This window comes from Homo sapiens, chromosome 7, assembly GCF_000001405.40.
Source record: "Homo sapiens chromosome 7, GRCh38.p14 Primary Assembly".
NCBI lineage: Eukaryota > Metazoa > Chordata > Mammalia > Primates > Hominidae > Homo > Homo sapiens.
In genome coordinates this window covers 11702105-11725355 of record NC_000007.14, presented here as the reverse complement: position 1 = coordinate 11725355, position 23251 = coordinate 11702105, and the positions used below count along the sequence as shown (strand labels likewise).

The 23251-nt window shown below is 35.1% G+C and overlaps 1 protein-coding gene across 6 annotated transcripts in view; it reads left to right on the top strand.

Annotated features, from left to right (window-relative positions):
• Window positions 1-23251, top strand: part of THSD7A (thrombospondin type 1 domain containing 7A) — a 461834-nt gene that overhangs the window by 106843 nt on the left and 331740 nt on the right. For 2 of the 6 annotated variants that reach the window (XM_047420039.1, XM_047420040.1), the window contains exon 2: window positions 302-436. The exons of the other annotated variants lie outside the window; for them this stretch is intronic. The gene's annotated coding sequence lies outside the window, so the exon portion shown is untranslated. The remainder of the gene's footprint in view (window positions 1-301; window positions 437-23251) is intronic. 6 annotated transcript variants of the gene reach the window in all.

The window sequence follows — 23251 nt, the reverse complement described above, 5'->3', positions numbered from 1 at the left end:
ACTGTGATCAAAGCATAAGCAAGCTCAGTCACAATGTAAGTTTCTACTAAAGACATCTCAAATCAGAGTATAAAAGTACATCCCATTTATCCTATTTCATTCCATGTTAAACAAATGGTATCAGGCATCCCTGAGAATTAAAGAGTAGGATTTACTTTTAATTAATTGTTTTGGTTGTTAAAACTTCAGCATTTTGTTATAAAAGAGCAGAGAAATGCTATTAAAACTCAAATGTAAATGTATATTATTTTTTGAATGAATCTTATTTAGCTGTGTTTGAGTAGGATTTTAACTTTTACAGACAAATGAAGAGTTACGTGGATCTTCTCTTCTATTTCTTTGCTCTTAATTTTGAGGCACTGCTTAAGTCTTGCATCAGAGTTATCCATAAGAATTAAAAAAACGAAGAAGAAGAAGAAGAAGAAGAAGAGATGAGGTTAGTTCCCTGGTTTGATTTGGGAGAAACTCCTCAGCAGCATTTACTTTTGATTACCACACTCAGCCTCCACAGCAGGCATTTCATCCATGGCTTTAAGCTGTTACATCTACTTATACATATGTTTCTCCTTGAATTTATGCACTGATTTGTGTATTCTGGTATATGTAATGGTGGTTTTCAAAGAAAATGGCAATTTTTCTTAAATCTAAAAATGACTTTTTCCATTTTAAAATGATTTTCTTAAATGTCTGCAATAAGTTCAAAACTGTTTTTTTGTCTTCCCAGTATCAAAGTATCAAAATTTAGATACTTCGATAATACATTGTTTAGGTAAAATACATTTTGTAGGTGTGGGGGTATGTGTGCGTGTATATACACACAGATATTCACATATTATTTTCTTTTCATTAAATTTTTGCCTAGGTCTTGATCCACAGTAACATTCTGTATGACTGATTATAAGCAATAAAATCAGTACAGAGCTCTCTGCTGTCAATACTGCAGAGTCAGAACAAAGGGGAATTACTTAGAAGTGTTTAATAAAGGGATATGTCTAACATTGATGCAACATATGCCAAAATGGAGCTACCCTGGCTTGGCTGCAGGAAGACTTTGCACTACATTGAATCCTATACTAGAAATTGATATAGTTTAGCTCCAGAACTATATTCAATCTAACTTTCTGACTCATGTCACATCTCATTAAGTAGCAGCTACATTCTTTTATGTACTTAGGCAAAAAATATTGATGACATTCTTGATCTCTCTTACTCCAATATCCCACATATATTCTTTTAACATATCATAAGAGCTCAATTTTTGAAATGTATCCCCAATCACACAACTAATCACCATCTTCACTCCTATTATTTTTATTTAAGTTCTTGCCTGCGTTGTTGCAATTGCCTTTTAACGGACTTCCTTGATTCCATCCTTACTGCTTTTGGGTCTATTCTCAATTCAGCATCTAGAGTGCATGAAACCATCCAGTAGCTTCCCACTTCATTCAGAGTAAGATCCAACATCCTTCCAATGTCTGTTAATGTCTATATGGTCTGGCCCAGTTACTTACTATCTGAATTTATTTTCTACCAATCTTCTTGCTCATTCTGCTTTGGCCCTACTGACCCTGTTATGATAGAAACACAATACTTACGGTTGTTTTTCAGAACCTTTGAACTTGCTATTTCCTCTATTGAAATGCTCTTCCCTGATGTAGATAAGTGGCTAGCCTCCTGATCTCCTAAATATATTCAAGCAAAGGAGAACCAACTGGACATAGCTCCAAGTAAAATTGCAAAAACAATCAACTAACCAACAAATACATAATATGAACATTTTGAATTTGCCTGGTATATCTGCTTGTTTTTCTTAGTACTTATTACTATTTAACATACTATTTAATTTATTTATGCATCCAGTTTATTTTTTTATTTTTTTTATTATACTTTAAGTTTTAGGGTACATGTGCACAGTGTGCAGGTTTGTTACATATGTATACATGTGCCATATTTGTGTGCTGCACTCATTAACTCGTCATTTAACATTAGGTATACCACCTAATGCTATCCCTCCCCCCTCCCCCTACCCCACAACAGGCCCCAGTGTGTGATGTTCCCCTTCCTGTGTCAATGTGTTCTCATTGTTCAATTCCCACCTATGATTGAGGACATGCGGTGTTTGGTTTTTGTCCTTGCGATAGTTTGCTGAGAATGATGGTTTCCAGCTTCATCCATGTCCCTACAAAGGGCATGAACTCATCATTTTTTATGGCTGCATAGTATTCCATGGTGTATATGTGCCACATTTCTTAATCCAGTCTGTCATTGTTGGACATTTGGATTGGTTCCATGTCTTTGCTACTGTGAATAGTGCCGCAATAAACATACGTGTGCATGTGTCTTTATAGCAGCATGATTTATAATCCTTTGGGTATATACCCAGTAATGGGATGGCTGGGTCAAATGGTATTTCTAGTTCTAGATCCCTGAGGAATCGCCACACTGACTTCCACAATGGTTGAATTAGTTTACAGTCCCACCAGCAGTGTAAAAGTGTTCCTATTTCTCCACATCCTCTCCAGCACGTGTTGTTTCCTGACTTTTTAATGATCGCCATTCTAACTGGTGTGAGATGGTATCTCATTGTGGTTTTGATTTGCATTTCTCTGATGGCCAGTGATGATGAGCATTTTTTCATGTGTCTTTTGGCTGCATAAATGTCTTCTCTTGAGAAGTTTCTGTTCATATCCTTCGCCCACTTGTTGAGCTTAGAGGCTAGGGTTTTTACAAATAATTTGGTGGGCAGGAGGCTAGGGAATGGATGCTGCTGATCAGTTGTGGATAAAATCACAGTGGTTTGGAAAATGGTCTTCATGTGCTAAGTCAGCCTCTGGGTGGGGGCCACAGGACCAGTTGAGTCATGAGTCATGTGTTCAGGCAGAGTCACTTGGTTGCCAGAATGCAAAAGTCTAAGAAACATCTCAAAAGACCAATTTTATGTTCCACAATACTGATGTTATCCATAGGAGCAATTGGAAAAGTAACAAATCGTGTGACATCTGGCACAGTAAATGATTATAGAAAGGCAAACTGCACCTACATCTTAGCAGTATTCACCCCCTTCCCATAATCCTAATCTTGTAGACTTTCATTAGTCTTACAAAGGGGACTTCAGTTCCTGAGCAAGGAGGGGCTTAATTTTAGAGAGGGACCGTTTTCATTCTTGCTTTAAAGTTAACCTATAAACTAAATTCCTCCTATGGTTAGCTAGGCCTATGCCCAGGTATTAACAAGGACAGCCAGACTGTGAGGCTAGAAACAACATGGTGTCAGCCATGCTAGAGTCCTCTTGTTATTATAATTTTGCAAAGGTGGTTTCACAATGAGTGAAAAGTTGAGTAGAAACTAACCAGACCAAGAGGATGAGAATGTTTTGAAGCAAGGGAAAGAGCGTATTAAAGGAATTGGGAAGGGGTGCATAAAATATAAGAAGAGTTCAATATATTTGGAACATAGAGAGCAAGAGGAAGATTCCAAATGAAGTTGTAGAGATATAAGTGGGGCTGGATTTTGGAAGGCCTGGAATACTATATGAATTTTAGATCTTACCTAAAATCATTGGGAAATCATTGCAGTGTTTAAAATACAAATGTAAAAATCAGTTTTCCAGTTTTGAAATATCACTATGGCAACAATTAAAGAGAGGCAAGGATGAATGAATTAAAGGGGAGAAATACTAGGTGTAAGAAAGAGTTAGCAGCTTCTATCAGTAGTAATCCAGATGAGAGGCATCAGTGGCTGCTTTAGGTTAGTGTATTAGTCCGTTCTCACATTGCTATAAAGAACTACCTGAGACTAGGTAACTTATGAAGAAAAGAGGTTTTATTGACTCACAGTTCCGTAGGCTGTATAGGAAACATGGTTGGGGAGGCCTCAGGAAACTTACAGTCATGGCAGAAGGCAAAGGGGCAGCAGGCATGTCTTACATGGCTAGAGAAGGAGGAAAGAGACCAAAAGTGGAGATGCTACACACCTTTAAACAGCTAGATTTCATGAGAACTCACTCACTGTCATAAGATTAGCAAGGGGAAAATATGTTCCCATGATCCAATCACCTTCCACCAGCCACCTCCTCCAACATTGGGGATTACAATTTGACAGGAAATTTGAGTGGAGACACAAATTAAAACCATATCAGGTAGTGTAGTGGGAATGCAGGGCCATGACCCAATTCAGGATTCCTTAGGACTAGATTACTAGGATAAAATAAGTTTAATTTTGTGCTTGTCAATTACAAGTAGAAAGTGGAGTTTTCTAACAGTTTAATATATTAATCAAATCAAATTAGAGATTAAATCAGAAACCTGAGAGGCATATGTGTAATTAATAAACAAATGCACCGTAATCAAAGGCACAAGATTATATGAAATCACTCAAGTGGAGAGTATACAGAGCAAAAATAGAAGAGGACTAAACAGAGCCCTAAAGAATACCATCAGTTAAGGGGTGGGTAGAGTAGAAGGAACCAGCAAAGGGCAGAGAGAAGGAGCAGTCCGAGTGGTAAAAGTCAAAACTATGAAAATCTGAAACACAAGGGAAAATGATGTTTAGAGGAGAGACAGTTGTGAAGATGTCTAACACTGCTGAACATTCAAGCAAATAAGGCCTGAGAAGGATCCACTTTGCTTATTAATGTAGATGTCTATAGTAGCCATGGTGCAAGCAGTTTCAGGAGAGTGATGGAGATAAGAACCAGTTGATGGTAGGTTCCTTATAGATAGAGGAAAAAGAAAATGAAAAAAGCAACTTTGGAAGAGTTAAACTGCAAGGAATCTGTTAGGGCAAAACTGAAACACAACATGCAATTAGGGAGAGTATTGCTTGTTTTGTTTTGCTTCATTAAGAGGAGAGAATCTTCAGTATATTTAAAGGCTGATGGAAAGGAGCCAGTAGAAAGAGATTAAGCATGGGGGAATGGTGATCATCAATAAATTCATATTCCTGAGAAAACAGAGATGGAATCCAGCATACTGGGGGCAAGTTCATTCCCATATGGAATGTACATTGTAGAAAGTAGGTGTGACAATGAAAAGTTGAGAGATTCCCATCTGATGGGTTCTATTTACTTTTTGTGTTGTGAGATGAAGCTAGATACTGAGGATAAAGTTCAGGAGGTGGAATGATTTGTGGAAATGGTTTGACAGTTTTCTGGTAGAGAATGGCTGTGTGAGCTGAGTAAGAAGACAAAATAGGATTTCTAGGGGCAGTGGTGAAAGATCTATGGACGTTCAAAATGTATTTATATCGTACCCCTGTCAATGTGTTGGAATGTGTTCTTAAACAGCACTAAGCCATGCTTATTTGCAGTCATGCCATGCAGGTGTGACAAAAGGAGGGCTGAGCAAGGAAGTTTAGTTCTGAGATAAACCAATACTTATCTTTGAGCATGAAATCTAATCTCATTCAGGACAGATAATACAGAGTTATAGTTAAGGAGAAAGTAGAACGGTTCATCCTTTCATTCAATAAATATTTATTGAGCAACTATTATTTTTTAGGTTTATGTATAGGGTTCAGGGCTATTTTAGTAGACTTAACAGATATGGCCTCTTCCCCATTGATCTATAAGGCCCTGTTAATATGGAAGAACTAGTGCATTGGAAATCACCGAGTGAGATTTCTAGAAGAATAGAGTTTTGAAGTTAAAGATTTTATTATGTGAAATGTGGAGTAGACCTGGTTTGTGGCCACAGTTCTAATGACTGGAGTGGAGTTGAGGAGGAGAAAAATAACTCATTGAGGGGATCACTGGGCATGATGCAGAAGCAAAAGGACCGAGCGATCCATGTGTTGCATGTGGACATGGAAGTACCTTAGATAATGACAGGATATCAGTGAAAAAAGTAAGTAAGTTTTGCAAATTGTCAATTAATGAGAGTGAGTATAATTATGAAATTGAAAAAATGATCACAAACAAAATCCAAATATAATGAGCTTCAAAGGAGTTTATGAAAGTGAGTAGAAAAGTAATGACCTACAGACAATATAGAAAATCTATCAGAACAATGAAGGCTGATGTCTCCAGATACTGAGTCTCATTTAGTATAGGAGAAAGAAGTCACCTGAGAGAACTCCAAGGGCGTAGGGTGGGAGGAAACAGAGACCATATGAGACAGTCTAGTTTTAGTTAAGGTGGGAAGATAGAAGGAACCCAGAGAAGAGAATAAAGAAGTAGAGAAATTTGCTAATCTATGTTTTAAATAGGTAATCAAAAGGCTTACCTTTTCTGGGGGATGAAAAATGAGACACTTGGCCTTCTGTGGACTTAAGAAAAACACACATGAGCGCATACACACACACACACGATATTGCTTATAGAGAAAATACATAGTCCTGCTCTTCTTTTTTCAATGGCAGCTATAAAATTTCTCAATTTGTATAAAGTAATAAATCTGTCTGATGCTTTTTTTTATTTCCTTTTTGTTTTTCATAATTGTCCCTATTTCAACAGTATCCATAATATGTTTAAAACATGTTGGGAAAGAAAAATACTGTAATAAAATTCAAAGTTCTGCATGCCCAAACTTTTTGTCTTATTTGGACAAAATCATGACCAAATGTGCCACTAGGACTATATTGTTTTGTTTTTTAAAAACATGTTTTAGAGCTCTATAAGTTCCACTTTAAAGGGACTGTGGATTTTATAATTATGTCTTATCAATTAATAATTTGGTCAGTTTCTTATACTAAAAAAATTGTGCTCAGTAGAGGAATTCTATATCAGGACCTATGGATTAAAGCAATTTAGTCAGAGATTGATGATTTAAAGGAAAATAATGTAGATAATTATGACAATTGTACACTGTTTAATGGTAGACACTAGCTTGAATGCACTACCTGCTAGTTCCATGGAATGCAACTTTTAAATGATTTGTAAAAACTATAGAATGTACCAGTATTCAAGCTGCAAATATTTTAATAGGGCAATAATGTGGCCTGTGACACATCTGATAATATGTGTCACATTATCAGATTTAACACAGAAATGAAATAACCATAGATCAAACTTTATGTATATGTATCTATGTAGACAGGTTAGGCAATTTGGGTGGGGGAACAAAATTTAAATGTACTCAAATTTGTTTAGAGCTTCCCTTTATTAAATAAATGTCCTCAGATCGCATACAAATTGTGCTGCAGAAACAAGAGGTTTTTAGTTCTTTCATAAATTTTGCATTTGCTATACTATATATCAAATAAAGTTAACTTGTTCTCAAGAGAGGATGCAGCATGCTCTCTACAAACTGGTGTTTAGGGTCTGGTCCAGAGAAATTACATTTCCTCTTATGCAAATTACTTCCATAATGATTGCATATATATTTGTGATAATCTTTGTGCATAGAGATTAGTTTTGAGAAGGGTCATTCACTTGAATTTCAGGGGATGAAATTTTGAATTTTGGAAATCGTAGACTAAACAAAGATCCTAGAATGGATTATCTAGAAGGTACTCTGAAAGCCCTTTACAAAAAATATCATAGAAACCATATCCCCATGAGATATATCTTGGATCATTGATATGAAAGTGTTAGTTAAAGACATGGAAGTTTAGAGCAGGGAAAGGACCAAAAAATAATACTTCATATCTACTTCTTAGTTTGGAACCAAGCAAGAGACAAGAATCAAACAGGTAGGTGTAGAAGCAGTTGTTTTATGGATGAAGGGTAGAACAGGCAAAATGGGCTCCCTCATACTTTGCTGTGGAATTAGACAGATATATTCTCCTAGTAGTGGATAGAAGTCTCCACAGAGGCAGGCCAGATGTCACAGGACAGATCAGAATCCTCCATCTTGCTGAAAGGTTGGTTCCAATAAAGAAAAAGAAAAAGGGCCTTTCTGGCACTGTGCCACTCCTTGTCTTAAATTTACTCCTTTCCCCATGGAAAGCAGAAAATGGAGGGTGAGGTGGTGGTAGGAGTGGTGAGGAGAGGTAGGAATGCACTTATAATGGAAGTCCCACCATGTAGAAATAGAAGGATAGAGAAACAAAATGTGCTGTAACAGGAGCAGAGGAAGTTCCTCAAGAAAAGGAAAAGCACAGATCACTTAAGGGAGAATCCCAGTGCATGTGGTTATTCAAAGGACGGGCTAGAGTCTAGCCTCTGCGAGGAGGCCGTCTTTCACACACCCACCTCTGCCTGAGACTATCACCTTTATTGCTTTCATAGCGTTCCTGCAATCAGACCTTTGAATCAGTCAAGTGTGGATCTCAGTACATAAAGTCAATTAGCACTATATTTGCAAACGATCAGTGTTAATAAAAAATGTTAGCTTTCTCTCTTATCACATTACTACGAAAAAGAATTAGCAAATGGAACTCTTGGGGAAGTGAGCTGTTTTCAGAAGGAAGAGATTTGAGGAGTTTATGATAGGAATAATAGAATGTAAGGTGAGAAAGGTGGTTCTATTTCATAAAGGGTATTCGTTACCACTCAGGGTATTTTTGTGCTTTTGTTTTCTGGGTTCTGTGTTTTTGTAATTGTCTTATGTTTGTATTACATACGCTTTTTCTGTTTTTCTTAGTAGTAGTAGTATAAAAGCAATGTAATAAGATTTTTTCTTCAGAAAGACAAATAGGACAGCCATATACATAAGGCATTGGAGTAAGGAAGAAATAGAGGAACAGGAACCAGTATAGAGAATGCCATAGGCAAGCAGTGGTGATATAGATGAATGGCAATAAGAAGAATTGAATAACATGAGGCATATAAAGATTTAAAAAAACCCCTACTGTATAGTCTATTGGATTGTCTGATTATTTCACTGAAGAATTTAGTGAGAAAAGTTTTCCAGGGTCAGAGCTGAGTTCCAAGTTACCAAAGCCTAGAACCAAGAACAATAAAGTAGGAACAATAAAGTAGGGAAGCAGGAATCTGTGGCTTAAAGGAATGTGGATGTCTGCCAGGACCACAGAGCAGGGTTGGGCAGGATGCCCATGACATTCTGTGTGTTCCCATCATTGTCCTTGAATCCCTACATTGTAATTTCCTGTTTACCTATTAATCTCTACTTCATTATTATCACCTGCTATGTGCTCACCAGATATGAATTAGACATGGCACCTGGGGACTAGAACAGTCACAGGGGCATTCAAGATGGGTGGAGAGAGTTGGAGGAAGAATATTCCAGGCAGAAGGAATGCCATGTGCAAATCCTTGTGTGTGGAAGCATGTGACATATTGTAAGACAGCAAGAATTTTAGGGAAAAAATGGAAAAGGCAGGAGGTATGGCTAGAAAGAAGGGTAAGTAGTATTGATGTTAACTTAGTGTTCTAATTGAGAGGTCTGTCAGGAATGTTCCTCTCTGCTCTCTCACTGACATCGTTATCAAGTCCTGATGGGTTCTCCTCTTTCTAGAATCTTAGTATTTCAATTTAGATCACTCTAAGGTATATGGGTTTCTCCCAGATTTTTATTTCGTACCTTAATGAAAATGTTGCTGTCTTTCTATGGTTGCAGAACAAAGAGAAATTTGATTTGCCTTTTGATATTTACAAACTGGCTTTCATGTAATAAAGCGTCCATCATTTACTGTTTTTCATCCCTCTGGAAAGTTCAGGGATGAGGATTAAGGAGGGAAAATAGACCCTTGTGGTTTTTTATTTCCAGTGAAATAAGGATGGGGGTCTGGGCTTCTGCAGAAATATTAAATCCAAATATCTCTAATTCAAATAACGCTGTAGCTTAGGTAAGCAGCAAAAGTTAGACATTTTTTAAGCAAAAATAGAATTCCATTTTAAACAAGAATCTATACAAAATATATAATTCTCAAATCAAAATTCTATTGCTTTGAGAGACAGAAAGAAGGAAAGAAAAAATCTTAACAGCAGGTTGTGTGTATATGAGTTATGTTTCATATATATCTATTTCTAACTAGTTTAAACACTTGTTAGCAGTTAATTAAGTTGAGTAAAACCATTTAGAAAGAGAGGCATTAAAATTATTTTTAGGCATTCTTCATTTTTTTCCTGCATATTTTAGAATTGCTATTGTACTATTTAATTTACAAATACTAAGTTTTGGAGTATCCTTGTAGAATAGTCTTCCATGTATAAACTTGGAATCTCCATTTCCAAGGAGATCTTTGAATCTTCATTCCCTCGCAAATGAAACTTCATTGTAATGTAATAATGTGTTTCTCAGCTTTCAGAGGAAAACAATATGATTTTTCTACATGGAATTTAATTGGTAAACTTCAGTATAATTATCCACTTCTTTCACACCTAGTTATTCTTTCTGTTTGTTTGTTTCTTGAACAATGAGTATGTTCAATTCCTGATCCAACTTTTACTGACCTGGAAGAGTTGTTATTCAACACAAATAACCCTTCGCTATAAAGAAGGAGAGAACCATGGAAGCCACTTCGCCAAATATGTACAGCCCAGTGTGAGAGAAAATAAATGTTTGTTCTCCTGTGCCTTCTTTTTTATTTGATTATTCCTGGATTTACTCAGCTAACCTTGACATGCCTTTTCCAATGGCCACACTGAACAATCTATTGTGGTTTGCAATCTTGGAATTCCTTAAATTTGGTAGAAAAGAGCTAAATGGGAAGAGAAACATCAATAGAGAGAATAAGGAGAAAGAGTATTTTGTGTATGCTGTGTTTTCTGGAAAATTTAGTCAAATGCTTCTATTAACTGAAAATATTCCCATAGTTTGACTATAATTTTGGAAAACTGCTTTTTTTCTTAGGGTACTTTTTAATTAAGAAGATGCTTTCTGTGTTTCCTTAAGAAAACAAGGGTGAGAAAGGTGGCTAATTCTAACACTACTAGCTGTGTTCTAATAGATGAAGAGTCAGAATCATTTATTCACTTATGAAATCATGCATTATTTTACACTAACTCAATCAAAATATTATTACAAGAGCTCCTGAGAAATGTCTCAGTAGCTCAATCTATACAAAATGGAAAGTAAAAATACGTGTGTCATAGGGTTAAGGTAAAGATTAATTGACAAAATACATATGATTCATAATGACTGTTGCCTGGCACAGAGCACACACTTTAAAATTTAAAACACAGAGCATAAAATTTAAAAATACACATGTCATAGGGTTAATGTGAGGACTGATTGATAAAATACATATAATTCACTATGAACATTGCCTAGCACATAGCACATACTTTTAAACACTTTTATAATTAATTTATTATACTATTATTTTATTAACACATTTAGAGGTTTAAATGCTGCAAGATTATTACATCACTTACTACAAGTGCCTTGAAAACATCGTTTTCCTGCAAACATTTTTTGACTGTGACCTTCATTAACAAATAGTTTTAAAATTGTGACCCAATGTACAGACACATATTTAACTTAAATTTTCAACAAATAAAAGCATTATTGTATATGACGCACTCTGATGTTTTTTCCTTTCTTTACCTTTCTATTCTAATATATTTGCTGTTATTTTTAAAGAACTGTCTTTGATTGACCTATTGCTTATTATCACCTATTGCTTATTATCACCAATTGAAAAAAGACTGTATTACCAGTATTCTATTTAATAAAATATAAGTCATTTTAAGACTTCAGCACCCACTGATAGGAATTGCAGTTTAAGTGACAAGAGAACATCTAGCTCTGTGTGCCTGTTTATTTACAGAAGTTTGCCAGAAGACTGAGACACAATGGGCTCTACAATCCAACTGTCATGATCATCTGGCTTCTTTAATAAAGATTGAGGTCCACTCCTTTCCTTAATCCTAAACAAAAGTTAGGATTCCACAGGCATCAGGTACATATACAATTGCTTCCTGATATACGCAATAAAGTTCGGACTTTTACTCTGAATAGGACATTTCCTTGTATTCTGTGTATACCTACTTATGCCTCCATGAGTAATCTGCTGAAAGGGCAAGACGACAGTAAATTTAGTTCTCATTCTCAGAGCATGCATGAGCAGGGAGTCTTATTTATGACAGACAGATTAGGAGTCAATTTATCTTTTTTAACTGATAGTTACTAATGTAACATGGCATATCCTAGCCAAGCTAAGAAAACCACTGGGAGAAGAAAAGATCATAAACATAAACCTTGTAAAGTGAAATTAGCTTTTATTTGTCTTTTTAACCTATTTATTCATTACTTCTAGTCCTTATCTTTTTTGAGGAATGGGAGGGAAACACAAAATGCCACAGAAGTTGAGCTTTGCATCTCTTTATCTGGCTGCTAACTGGTTTGGCAGCAATGTGCTATGCAGAACTGTGCTAATTAATGAGCCATGGCTTTGGAACTATAGATCAAGGCATCCTGTGTTTGGAAGAGTTGAGAAAATTATCTGTCCACTCAATCACTCTTTGCATATGCATGGTCACATGAAGATGCAAAATTCATCAGAGTCATGTAGAGATGTGGTACCATGGAAGTAAAAAAGACGGAGAAATTTGATGCTTATTCCTAGGCTTAGAATGTTTAATTGGAAGATACTTAAGTTCATCTAGAATCTAGTATTATTTTCTGCTCTGGGAATGAATTATACCCTTTTCTTTGACTTACATTTTAAGAAAACTTGTCAGAAAATTGATGATTTCTACATGGAGAACAGAACAGTTTCATTACTAAAATAACATATAATAGGCCACATATGTAATTTATCAACTGTTACTTGAAGGTGAGATTTGATGTTAGGATTAAGTAGAAAACACTTCTAAGTAAATAAATGTAGAATCTAAGGTTGAGGCAACAAATCTGAGATTCTGCTTACATCAAGTTCATTTGGGTCAAGCATACCTAAGATGGTCAATAGCTGGCCTCATGAGAAATGAAACTTATTACTGATATTATTGATATTTGGTGGAAAATATTTAAAGTCTAGTGCCAAGGTTAGTGACAGTGTTTGTCCTGTATCAAAATGTCGACCTTTTCCAGAGGTAAATGTTTTCAGTAAAGATTAGGTGACTTCTGTGTAATCTGTAAACTCCAAAGCAAAATGGCAGTTTCTGTGATAAGAGAGGAAAAGTTACATGTTCCTTTCCCTGCCATATGATTACATATTTATTCCTTCAAGCCTAAACTCAAACCAATGGTGAATAATCTCTACCTATAGTACTCGACTGTGGAATGTAATATGAGTGTTTATTACACAGGATCAGCCCATCACCCAGAAAAGTAGGGTATAGTCAGTGGACCTGTAATTTTGCATCATGCTGTCATCATTTTCTTTGGGTAAATTTATGGTTTGTACTAGCCCAAGTAATCAGCTGGAGGATAACTTGGAAACATATACCATAGACAGAAGTCTAGTTTTTTCCTATTCATATTTGCATAGTCTCTTTCCTGAGGGCTTCTTTTGAACATTTCTTTTCACTTGATGACTTCTTAGCTGGGAGGAAGGTTTCAGCTGAGTGTTTTTGTTTCTTTTTGTTCTGTACCACCTAGAGGACGATACCCATAGGCTATTTCTGGTGACAAAATGGAGAAATCCAAATAGGAGAAATCTGAATTAAATAAGTGATCCCCTAAAACATGCTTGTGAGGCTTTTATTTATATGGATGCAAAGATGGTAAGTAACCAGTCCTTATCTCAACTGTGATGTTTACAGACTAACTGGCCTTTGGCCATACTTCTCTTGTGCAGCATGGTTACCCATAGATGAAACTGAAGTACAACTGAGGTGTGTGTTTTCTATGAAGTTACATACTTCTGCCAGTTCTCACTGGGAAGTAACCAGTTGAAATTTTTCCCCTAGAGAAAACATTGCCATGCTTAGTACCTAAATTGTACCAAGTGTTATAGGTTCACCTTCATCATCTCATGTAATCCCTATAACAATTTTATCTGATAGCTGATGCCAGTTTCCTGATGAGGAAATTGAGGATGTTAAATACATAAAATTGCAAGTGTGGATTTATACATAAAGAAAAATAAATGTAGGAATAGAGAAATTTAATTCGTCAGCAGATCAATATCAGATTAAGGTTAAAACAGCATTTCAGAAACTTAACTTGGGGGATAGGAATGCCATGTTAACTTGGGGGCATTGACACAACAAATAATCGGCAGAGCCTAGATTTTAACTTGGGCCTCTGTGACCCCAAGAAAGGACATTTCCTGCTCTCCAACAAGCTCCTTCATTCCTAGCACATGGAATATATAATAAAGGACAAAACCTATGACTTGAAATGACTCTGGCACAAAAGTATCAGTTCCTTGCCTGTGTGTTTAACTAAATGTATAAAGCACATTTTCATTTCTGATTAATTTATATTACTTCAACTTTCCCAGTACTTTTTAGTGGTCCTTGGAAAATAAAAGAAGACACTATCAGGAATATCCCTAAGCTATATCTACAAAGGACATAATATGCATTTTCCTTCTTTGCTCACTCAAAACTATTTAATAGACACATTATTTAATAGATGCACCTTAAAATCATTTAATGCATATATTTTGTTGGCTCTCTTCAGACCTTTTATTGTATATATTATTTTATCAAATAGGGTAGCAAATACAATTATCATTTGAAAAGCAAGCAGGAGTAATTAGATCCTGGAACTTACTCAAATTCAACTCTATATTATCCTCTTCTTACATTTTGATGTAAGCTGCTGCTGATCTAAAGTACATGATAGTCTGTAAATAGGGGCATGTAACAAACAGAATGTTAAAAATTCAAAAATTTTTTTGGTTTCTTGGATAAAATAATAAAGAACTTCTCTTCCTCAGAGCATTTTGCAAACTTCAATCAATCATGCTTTCCCGAGAAGTAGGTCAGCATGCAGAGTCCCTCTGCATTAGAACTCAAGAAGTGCTTGTTAATTCTGCATGCAAGAATCCAGCAGGGGATATATACCCTGGCTTTTATGGCTACTCTCAAATAATTCTGGCCTCTACTTCCTTGGGACTTTCAGGTTACAAATTTTGCAGCATGTTTTTGCAAAGGAAGATTTATATTATCTCTTGCTACATTTTATTTCTGAGACTTAGCTTTGATGAGTGGATTGAACAAAATCAGAGTTATTGGGAATCTAACTCAGGTTGCCCAAGGGGTCTGAAACAAATGTGAGTTACAGGAAGTACATGTGTTTAGAGAAGTCACTGAGCAATAGCTCTAATTTTCTTTTCTTTTTTTTTTTCTTGTAAAGTGTGTTTAATTTATCCTTGATGCACTGATTCTCAACGCTTTTTCCCTGGCCCACAAGCACCAGTACCATTTAAGAACTTGTTAAAAATGCAGATTCTTAGGCTTCACCCTATACTTACTGAAACCACTGCTTTAATGCATATAACAGAATCCTCATTTTTTAAAAAAAAATAGCATTTATTCTATCATGTGTGTTTCCAATAAAATCAGATTGTAAAAATCAGTATTAAAAATTCACAAGATTCTTGAGATAATGACATTAAAGAAGTAGGTAGTAGCCATACATTTGATCCAACCTTTTAAGAGTTAGCAGTCAGCAAGTCTGCATACATGAAGTTGTGTGCAAGCAGGAATGCATGTTTGCACTGATCCCATTTGGAAGCCAGATTACTTTCTGCTTTTGTCTCAAATGGAAAGATAGCAGGCTTTAACTGGCAGGAATTTCTACATTTCTTGACAAACAAACTTGCTGTATTCTCTGTGGCTTCCTAGTCATGATTTACCTTCTAAATATAAGTATTTATTTTTCTGTTGATAAAGAGACCATTTTCTCTAATTAATTTTCAAGCACTGGCTTCTTCTAGGTGTTTCATATGCCATAATCAAAGTTAAGTTAAACGACTACATATGTGTCTGTTAAGGCCTTACTGTATTTTTTAAAATAGTGTATCAGGTATTGACTGAACTATACACCAAAAGAGACAGCAGTTGGAGATGGGTAGAGAAGGGATTCCTGGTTCCTTCCATTATCTCCATGAGTTATGGCCACAGAAGCAAACCTGATTCATAAGTGATTCAACTCACCATAACTCATTTACCAGGCCAAATTATGAGACTGGTAAGTTAGAAAGCATAGCAGCCCTGACACTCAGTGGTGTGTAAATCATGCCAGTAGATTTTTATTATCTCAGGCTGATCTGAGTATAGTAGGGTATTTCTTGGTATAAATTCATGTGCTTAAGAGAATTAATCACTTAAGGGATATCCATTGGGTACCTACTAGTTAGAAGGCACTATGGGGAATATCAAGATAAATGTTGTATTGAATGTATGCAGCATGAGCAGAGAGCTCACAACAAAGCCAGACCCTAAATATTCAGAAAAAACTGTTAAGAAACTCGATAGCCTTGTCTTGTTCATAGCTTAGCTCAGATTATACTAGTGATTTACATAAGAGCAGGATTATATTTTATTCACTTTTATTTTTTCAGTTTCCAGTGAGTCATGTTTCAAAATAAATCAAGGTTATTCAATGTCTTCCCTTTTCTAAATTTTCCTTATAATTATTTTCTAAACCACTCCTGTGGCATTGACCGTATAGTGCTATAATGTGTATTATATTTCCTATGTTGATATGCCTTATTTGCCCATGTACAGTGTCTAAACATTTGGTAGTCACATTAAATTTTACTCTTTACATCTAAATTCTTTAAGGACTTAATATTGGTCTATAATAACTATTTGATAATAATTGTGAAAATAGCATACTAGAATTTGGCATATTGGATCATAATACAAGAAATGAGACATAGCAGAGCATTATCAGCTGAATGGTCCAAAACTTTTGAATTAAGAGAAGGCAGACACCCTTGAGCTAGAGTGAGTGGAGAAAATAATGTCATAGCAATTCAGAGCTAGGATGGAATTTAAAGATAATCTACTCAAAAATTTACATGTTACAGCAGAGAAAACCTAATTCCTGAAAGATTAAGTGATTTATTTTCAAGGTCATACAATTTTATGTTGACTTGTACTTTGTTCTCTCAAGTTGCTAATTTTCTATTCATTTTATTAGAAGTTCTTTGTGCAGAGATGTTGTTCTTTTGGCAAATATATTAAAAAGCAAGCAATAAATAATTATGCTTTCTACTCATTGATGGTTATTTTGTTTTACAAACATATGGAAACTTTCTCAAACCTTTGAAAAGCATGAACAAAATCCATTTTATATTTTTTAAAAACTAATTATATTTTTAAATACCTATAATTATAAAGTTGTTACTGATTTATGACAAGTAATTCTACATGAATTAAAGGAATAATTATAAAAGTTTAACATTATTAAAATATAAACCTTCTCTCTACATTTTATCTGCAATACATAAAATATTTGCTTAGCTAGCTTTAACTCTAGGCTTTAAGCTGGGTATTTTGAAGATTAATAACGCATGAGTAGGGAGAGAAGCCAGGATGCTCTTCAGGTTAGAGAAGTTGAGTGCAAAAGACTATTAAGGGACAAAATTGCAAGGAATATTTGGTTTGACATGTTAGTGTTCCTCAGCTGACTCATTGGCATATTTTGTAAGGTTTAAGAAATGGACAGCAAAGAGATAAGAGATGCATATTCAAACTTTTGACAGTGTGTTAAACAATCAAAAAAAAAGAAAGTAGAAAAGATAGAGATCCTTGAATAAAATTGTTTGTTTGTATAAGCTTCTTTCACTTTCCAGAGTTATTTTGGCTCAAGCTGAATGAATTTCAAAGGAATATCACATAAGCATTGAAGGATGCAGATATGGAAACGAGAGTGTACTGCACACTGCTGAAGGCTTTAGAACACATTCCTTTGGGTCTTGAAGCTGCTGGTTTGGATGTGCATTTTATGTTAATTAAAAATAAAAATAAGTTTTCTCTCCTGTCTGGGGAGGATCTTAGACTCTCTGATGGTTTTGCCTGCCAGGCACACACATCCAAGGTTTTGCAGAGATTATAATGATAGAATGTATTGATTTTAGCTAACAAATGGCAAAACAAAAGTCAGCTGGGGCTCCCCTTAACAATAAATGCTCAGGGTTTTCCATGATTCCTAAATCCAACAGAGTTATATATACAGGTTCAGCAAGCAACCAACACACTTGGCATACTAGGCAGGATGCCATGGTAAACAGAAGATCTGTAAAAAATTAATAGCTCCATAACTGAGAGGCAGCAATCAAACCAGAAGGGCAAAAATATCTTGCAAAGACGAATACTATGATTACCTTCCCACTGTGACTGCTGTGATTTACAGCTACTTGGGATTAAATTTAAAGAAAAGCAATGGAAGGAATAAGAGATATCACTGGTATTATGGCTAAAGAAGAGAATTCAGAGGCCTACTTGAAAGTGGTTGCTTTGCACTCAGGGAGAGAAAGGAATATCTCATTTTCTAAATTCAATATGAGCCCTTAGTTTAATGGTGAAATCATTTTGGAAACTCATTCCTTTTTATATTTAAGCCAGTTGAATATTTTGTGGAAAAAGTTTTCTCTAGACTACTCCTTAGTTTACCTCTTCAGTTCATGTTTTTAAAAAGAAAGAAGGAAAAATTACATCAGTGATAATACAAATAACAAGCTGAAAAACCCTGAATCAGAGCTGAGTGGATTGTTTGGTATCTGCAGAGTTCAGATAATGACAAGAAGATGACTAATGACTCATTTGCCGATAAGTCATTCATTCTTTAGACTCTGATAAATGTACTTTAATGATTTTCTGTTAAGCATGGGCTTAACCTTTGAAAGTGATTAGAACACATTTCCTCTATTTTCTATTAGTTCAACTGGTTTGTGGATATACCATGATTTAAGAAGCAAATGTGTTCTTGCTAGGCAGTTGATAATTTCTAAAAAAAAAAAAAAAAAAAAAAAAAGCACCTTGTTAAAATTTTTAGTCAATTTTACAAACTAAGTGGTGGCAAATTATATAAAGAGTAATCTAGACTAACAGATTATAAGTATAGATGTTACTAAAGACCACAAACACACGTGTCTTGCCTTAATAGACTAGCCTTGTGAACAAAAGTAGATTGTGTAGCTGCCAAACCATAAATGATATTTTTGAAAATGAACACTTATTTTTCTTTACTTTCTGAGTTTCTTAAGACTCATCATGTTTTTTTGCCACTTGCAAATTCAATGTGTATTTCCTTGACATAGTCATTTGCATGTGAATGAAAATAGTACTTAGTTTTATAAATGTGTAGTGTGCACTCACAGACAAGACCACAGCACTTGGGTTGACATGGGACAATACACATGTGCTCTAGCTGTATCAATAAGAGATATGTGTACAAACTACAAAATGGTGCCTTTGTAGCAGCACATATTAATGTAAGTATGATGTCTGACATTACAACATTGAGATATTCTCTACATGGAATAGCAAACTTTCTGGAATAAATTTTCAAGTGTAAAATTATTGTAATTCTGAAACATTTTATAAGAACCAGACGAATGTGGCTTCACAGTATATTAGCAAAAGTATAATCCAAATCATTTGTGTAGCATAGAGACTATAACAGAAATGCTATTATTTATAATTATATGAATTTATTATTGTTATAACATATTATATGCTCACTGATTTTATTCAAACAACCTACATTAAGGGCTAACTGGAAGCCTTCTTTGTGATAGGTGTTGAGACACTGAATAACATCAATATTGGAACAATATGGAAAATAGAATTTTTGAAACATGAAAGATTTTGGCAATCTCTAATACACCTATGAGCTAATTTACCAACATTGATTTGCAATGGGTTGTGATACTCTAAAAACATTTTCCCCTGCTAAAGAATCGTTTGCCCACTAAACCAAGTTAGGTGAAGTATAGCTAAAATATAGTACAAATTTTATTGTAACACCTAAAAACTGCTCTTTGGTAAAAATAATCCTACTTCCCTCCACCTCCAACTTGAGAACTCCCCTGTCCTTTTGTGTGGCAGGTGTGAAATGTGGTATAGGCTGCAATAGGCTGACAGAAAGGAGAGTGAAGAGCAAATAGAAGACACAGAGAAATATGATTCCTAGAATCACTCTGACACCCAATGAAAGTGGCTATTACTGAGTCAACTTCCAGAAGTAGAAGATGCAACTAGGCCTTGCTTATTTAAATGGGATAATGCATTTACATCAAATTATTGCAATTTATAATAGGCATGTTTTGAGTTTTGTATATTATATTTCCTTACCTAGGTAACTTACTCTTGCTTTTAAGTTATTTAACTGTTTCTGGGACTCTCTTTAAGCAAATACAATTATAATGAGGCTTTTTATTAAATTTAGTGCATTACATCTTGAGGTTTAAAGGTCAAATTCCTGATATTTGAAACAATGTTCTCAAATTGTTAGTTTAACAATGACAGATACTTTCAATTATATGCCATAATCCAACAGCACTTTTATTCTTCCTCTCTCTATATAAGTAATTGATCACTTACTAATATCAGTGATAGTATTTGGAGTATATATTTTTAAAAGACACTTAGTTCTGACGTGTCAACTGATGATTATCATTTCAAATATGGTGCAGCCATTAAACATGGATTAGATGAAGCAACCACTGATGGTACACTTATTTTTGGAGACCTAGTTTAAATGATGTATGTTAAATTATTTGATTTTTTATGGTGCCACATCATACGATTCTCAAACCACCACACAACTTGGCAAATTATGCCCTAAAATGTCTCAGAAGCTAGAGAGGAATAGTTTCTTAACTTTTTCTTGTCACAATCCATAAATAGACTGTAAGCTATGGGCAGTTTTGGGGGAGAAGAAGTAAATCTATACATTCACATGGAATTCGTGGACCCCAGGTTAGCCTCAGGTTACGAACTTCACTCTAGTGAATAAGATGAATAAGATCAATAGAAATATTCTCCAAAGGTCCCTTGGCAAAAATGCTCCTTTATGAAACACTTCTATAGCTACTGCCCAGCACTGAACATATTCACACAGACTCCAAAGAGTCTCTGGCTCTTTCCTGCTTCTTCTCCTTGCCCACCAGAGGAATTCAATAGGAGAGATACTGTTTTAAGATGGTATTCCACCTGTATCCCTTTTCCCCATAGGGTTATGTCACTTAAATTATACCTTCTACATGACTCAGGAAGAAAACATTATAATTCCATCAAAGTAAGAAATATTTCAGTATATATACCAAAGTATATTATTATCTATTATGTTTTAATAGTATTTTAAATCTTTTTCATCTCCCTATTCAATATGAAAATGCTGATGATTTTGGATTTCAGGCAGCCTTGTAATAGGAGTAATGGTGTACTGTGATTCATTGCTTGTAGTTTTGCTTTAAAGTTTGATTGAAATTTCAAATAACTTGTTGTAGGTAGAAACTATCTTTTTCCCACTTGTATTAAAGAGCTCTAATGAGAACTTTCGATGCTTTGTTCCTTTCAATTAAATACTTACTCTGTGTATAGCATTAGTATAAAGATTGGTGTATGCTTCAAAGATACCACTAATTAAGTGATAATCTAATGTATTCTGAAACCTATTTTGTTTTCAACTCAAGTCTGTGTCTGTTGCCAATTATACCCCAATTAATTCCAGTTTCAGTGTGAGAAATTCTTTTTCCTTCTTCACTGTACTAGATAGAGGGGATGTCTTTAACTGAAGCTTCTCTGATCTTCTAGCTTTGCTCCTCTTTCAAAAATGATAAGCTATATGAAGCATGTTAATTTGCTCAGTGAATTTCAATAGGTTCTATTGTCCATCCAAGTCTATTTGATCAGCGCATTAGAAATATATAATGGGTTTATGTTAAATCAAAAGAAAAGAGAAGGTCAAAGTACAGTCAGACACCACATTGTACATTTTAATTTTAATATTCTCTCAACAAAAATGTATAAAATGCCAGCTACATTAAGATATTGTGCCAGGCATTACACTACTGTATAGCAGTAGATTTTGTAAAAGTTTAAGAAATGCAAATATCTTAAGATAAAGACAAATATTAATTCCAGAAGAATAGCAATTTCTGAATTGTGATTAATGAGAGAGGAAATACAATGACAAAGCTATGACATTGGATCTATACTGACTCAAGTTTGAATTCTGATGCTGCCACTTATTGGGTAGGATCTGAAATAAAATCTCTGATCCTCAGATTCCCAAACTGCAAAGAAGAAATAATAAATAACAAGCACAGTTTGTGTGTGTGTGTTCATTTTAGGCCATTTTTGATACTTTGCAGATGTGTTCCTACGTCTGTTATTAGGCAAATTAAGACAGTTTGGGAAAAAAAATATTTTCTAGCCTCTTCAACACCAGAGTTTGAACGCTGCCAGGAAGTTTGAATGGTTGTGTGCAACAACACACGTGCTGGCTCACTCGAGAAGGCTGAAACTGAAGCAAGAGCCATTTAGAGAACTTGACCTTGCCTAGAGAAAATGACTAGCTGAGTGTGTATTTTCTCAAAGAAGAGCCACTTAGCTTTGAGCATGTTGCCTCAGAGAGTTGTTTAAAAGAGTTTCTTCTTCAGAGAGTTTCCAGAAGACTGAGCAAAGACATGATTATAAGTTTCTGTCTTAGAAAGCTAAAATAATTATACCAAGCTAGTCTAGCACAAGAAGCAGGAAGAAGTCTGAGGAAGTAAGTGATGTCAGTAACCATAATATTACTACTAATAATCATAGTTAATATCTATTGAATACTTAGCAGGAGTCAGGTAGTGTTCTAAATACATACAATACTTTGATACTCACAAAGATAGGTACTCATATTATCCTCATTTAAGGATGAAAGAACTGACACACAAATAATTATTTAATTTGCTCAGGTAGAATTCTAAAATGACTCCCCAAGATTCCCAGCTCTCATTCAACCAAACAGTAATGTAGCTGCTGCTGTGAGCGGACTTTTGTAGAAACAATTAAAACTGCAATTCAATTGACCTAAGACCTTAAGATTATCCAGATCGGCCTGCCCAGAAACATCATATGAGCTCTTTAAAGCAAGAAACTTTTCTCAGGCTGGTGGCAGAAAAGGATATCAGAAATTTAAACCATGAGAAGGATTTCAGGTGTTATTCCTGGCTTGACATGGAGGAAATCACTGGAAAAGACCAGAGGGTTACCCCCTACTGACAAACAGCAAGAATACAGAAACCACAGTCATGCTGTAACAAGGACCTTGATGCTGTCGACAATTTGAATGAGCTTGGTCGTGGATTTTTCGCCAGACCTTTCAGACAACTACTCAATCCAACCAGTGCTTTGATTTCAACCCTGTGACACCCTGAGCAGAGAGAACCCAGCCACATCATACCAGACTCTGGTTTTAGAAGTATGAACTAATAAATGGGTGCTGTTTTAACCCTTTTTTCTGGTGATCTGTTAAACAGCAATAGAAAACTAAATACAGTCATACGCTTT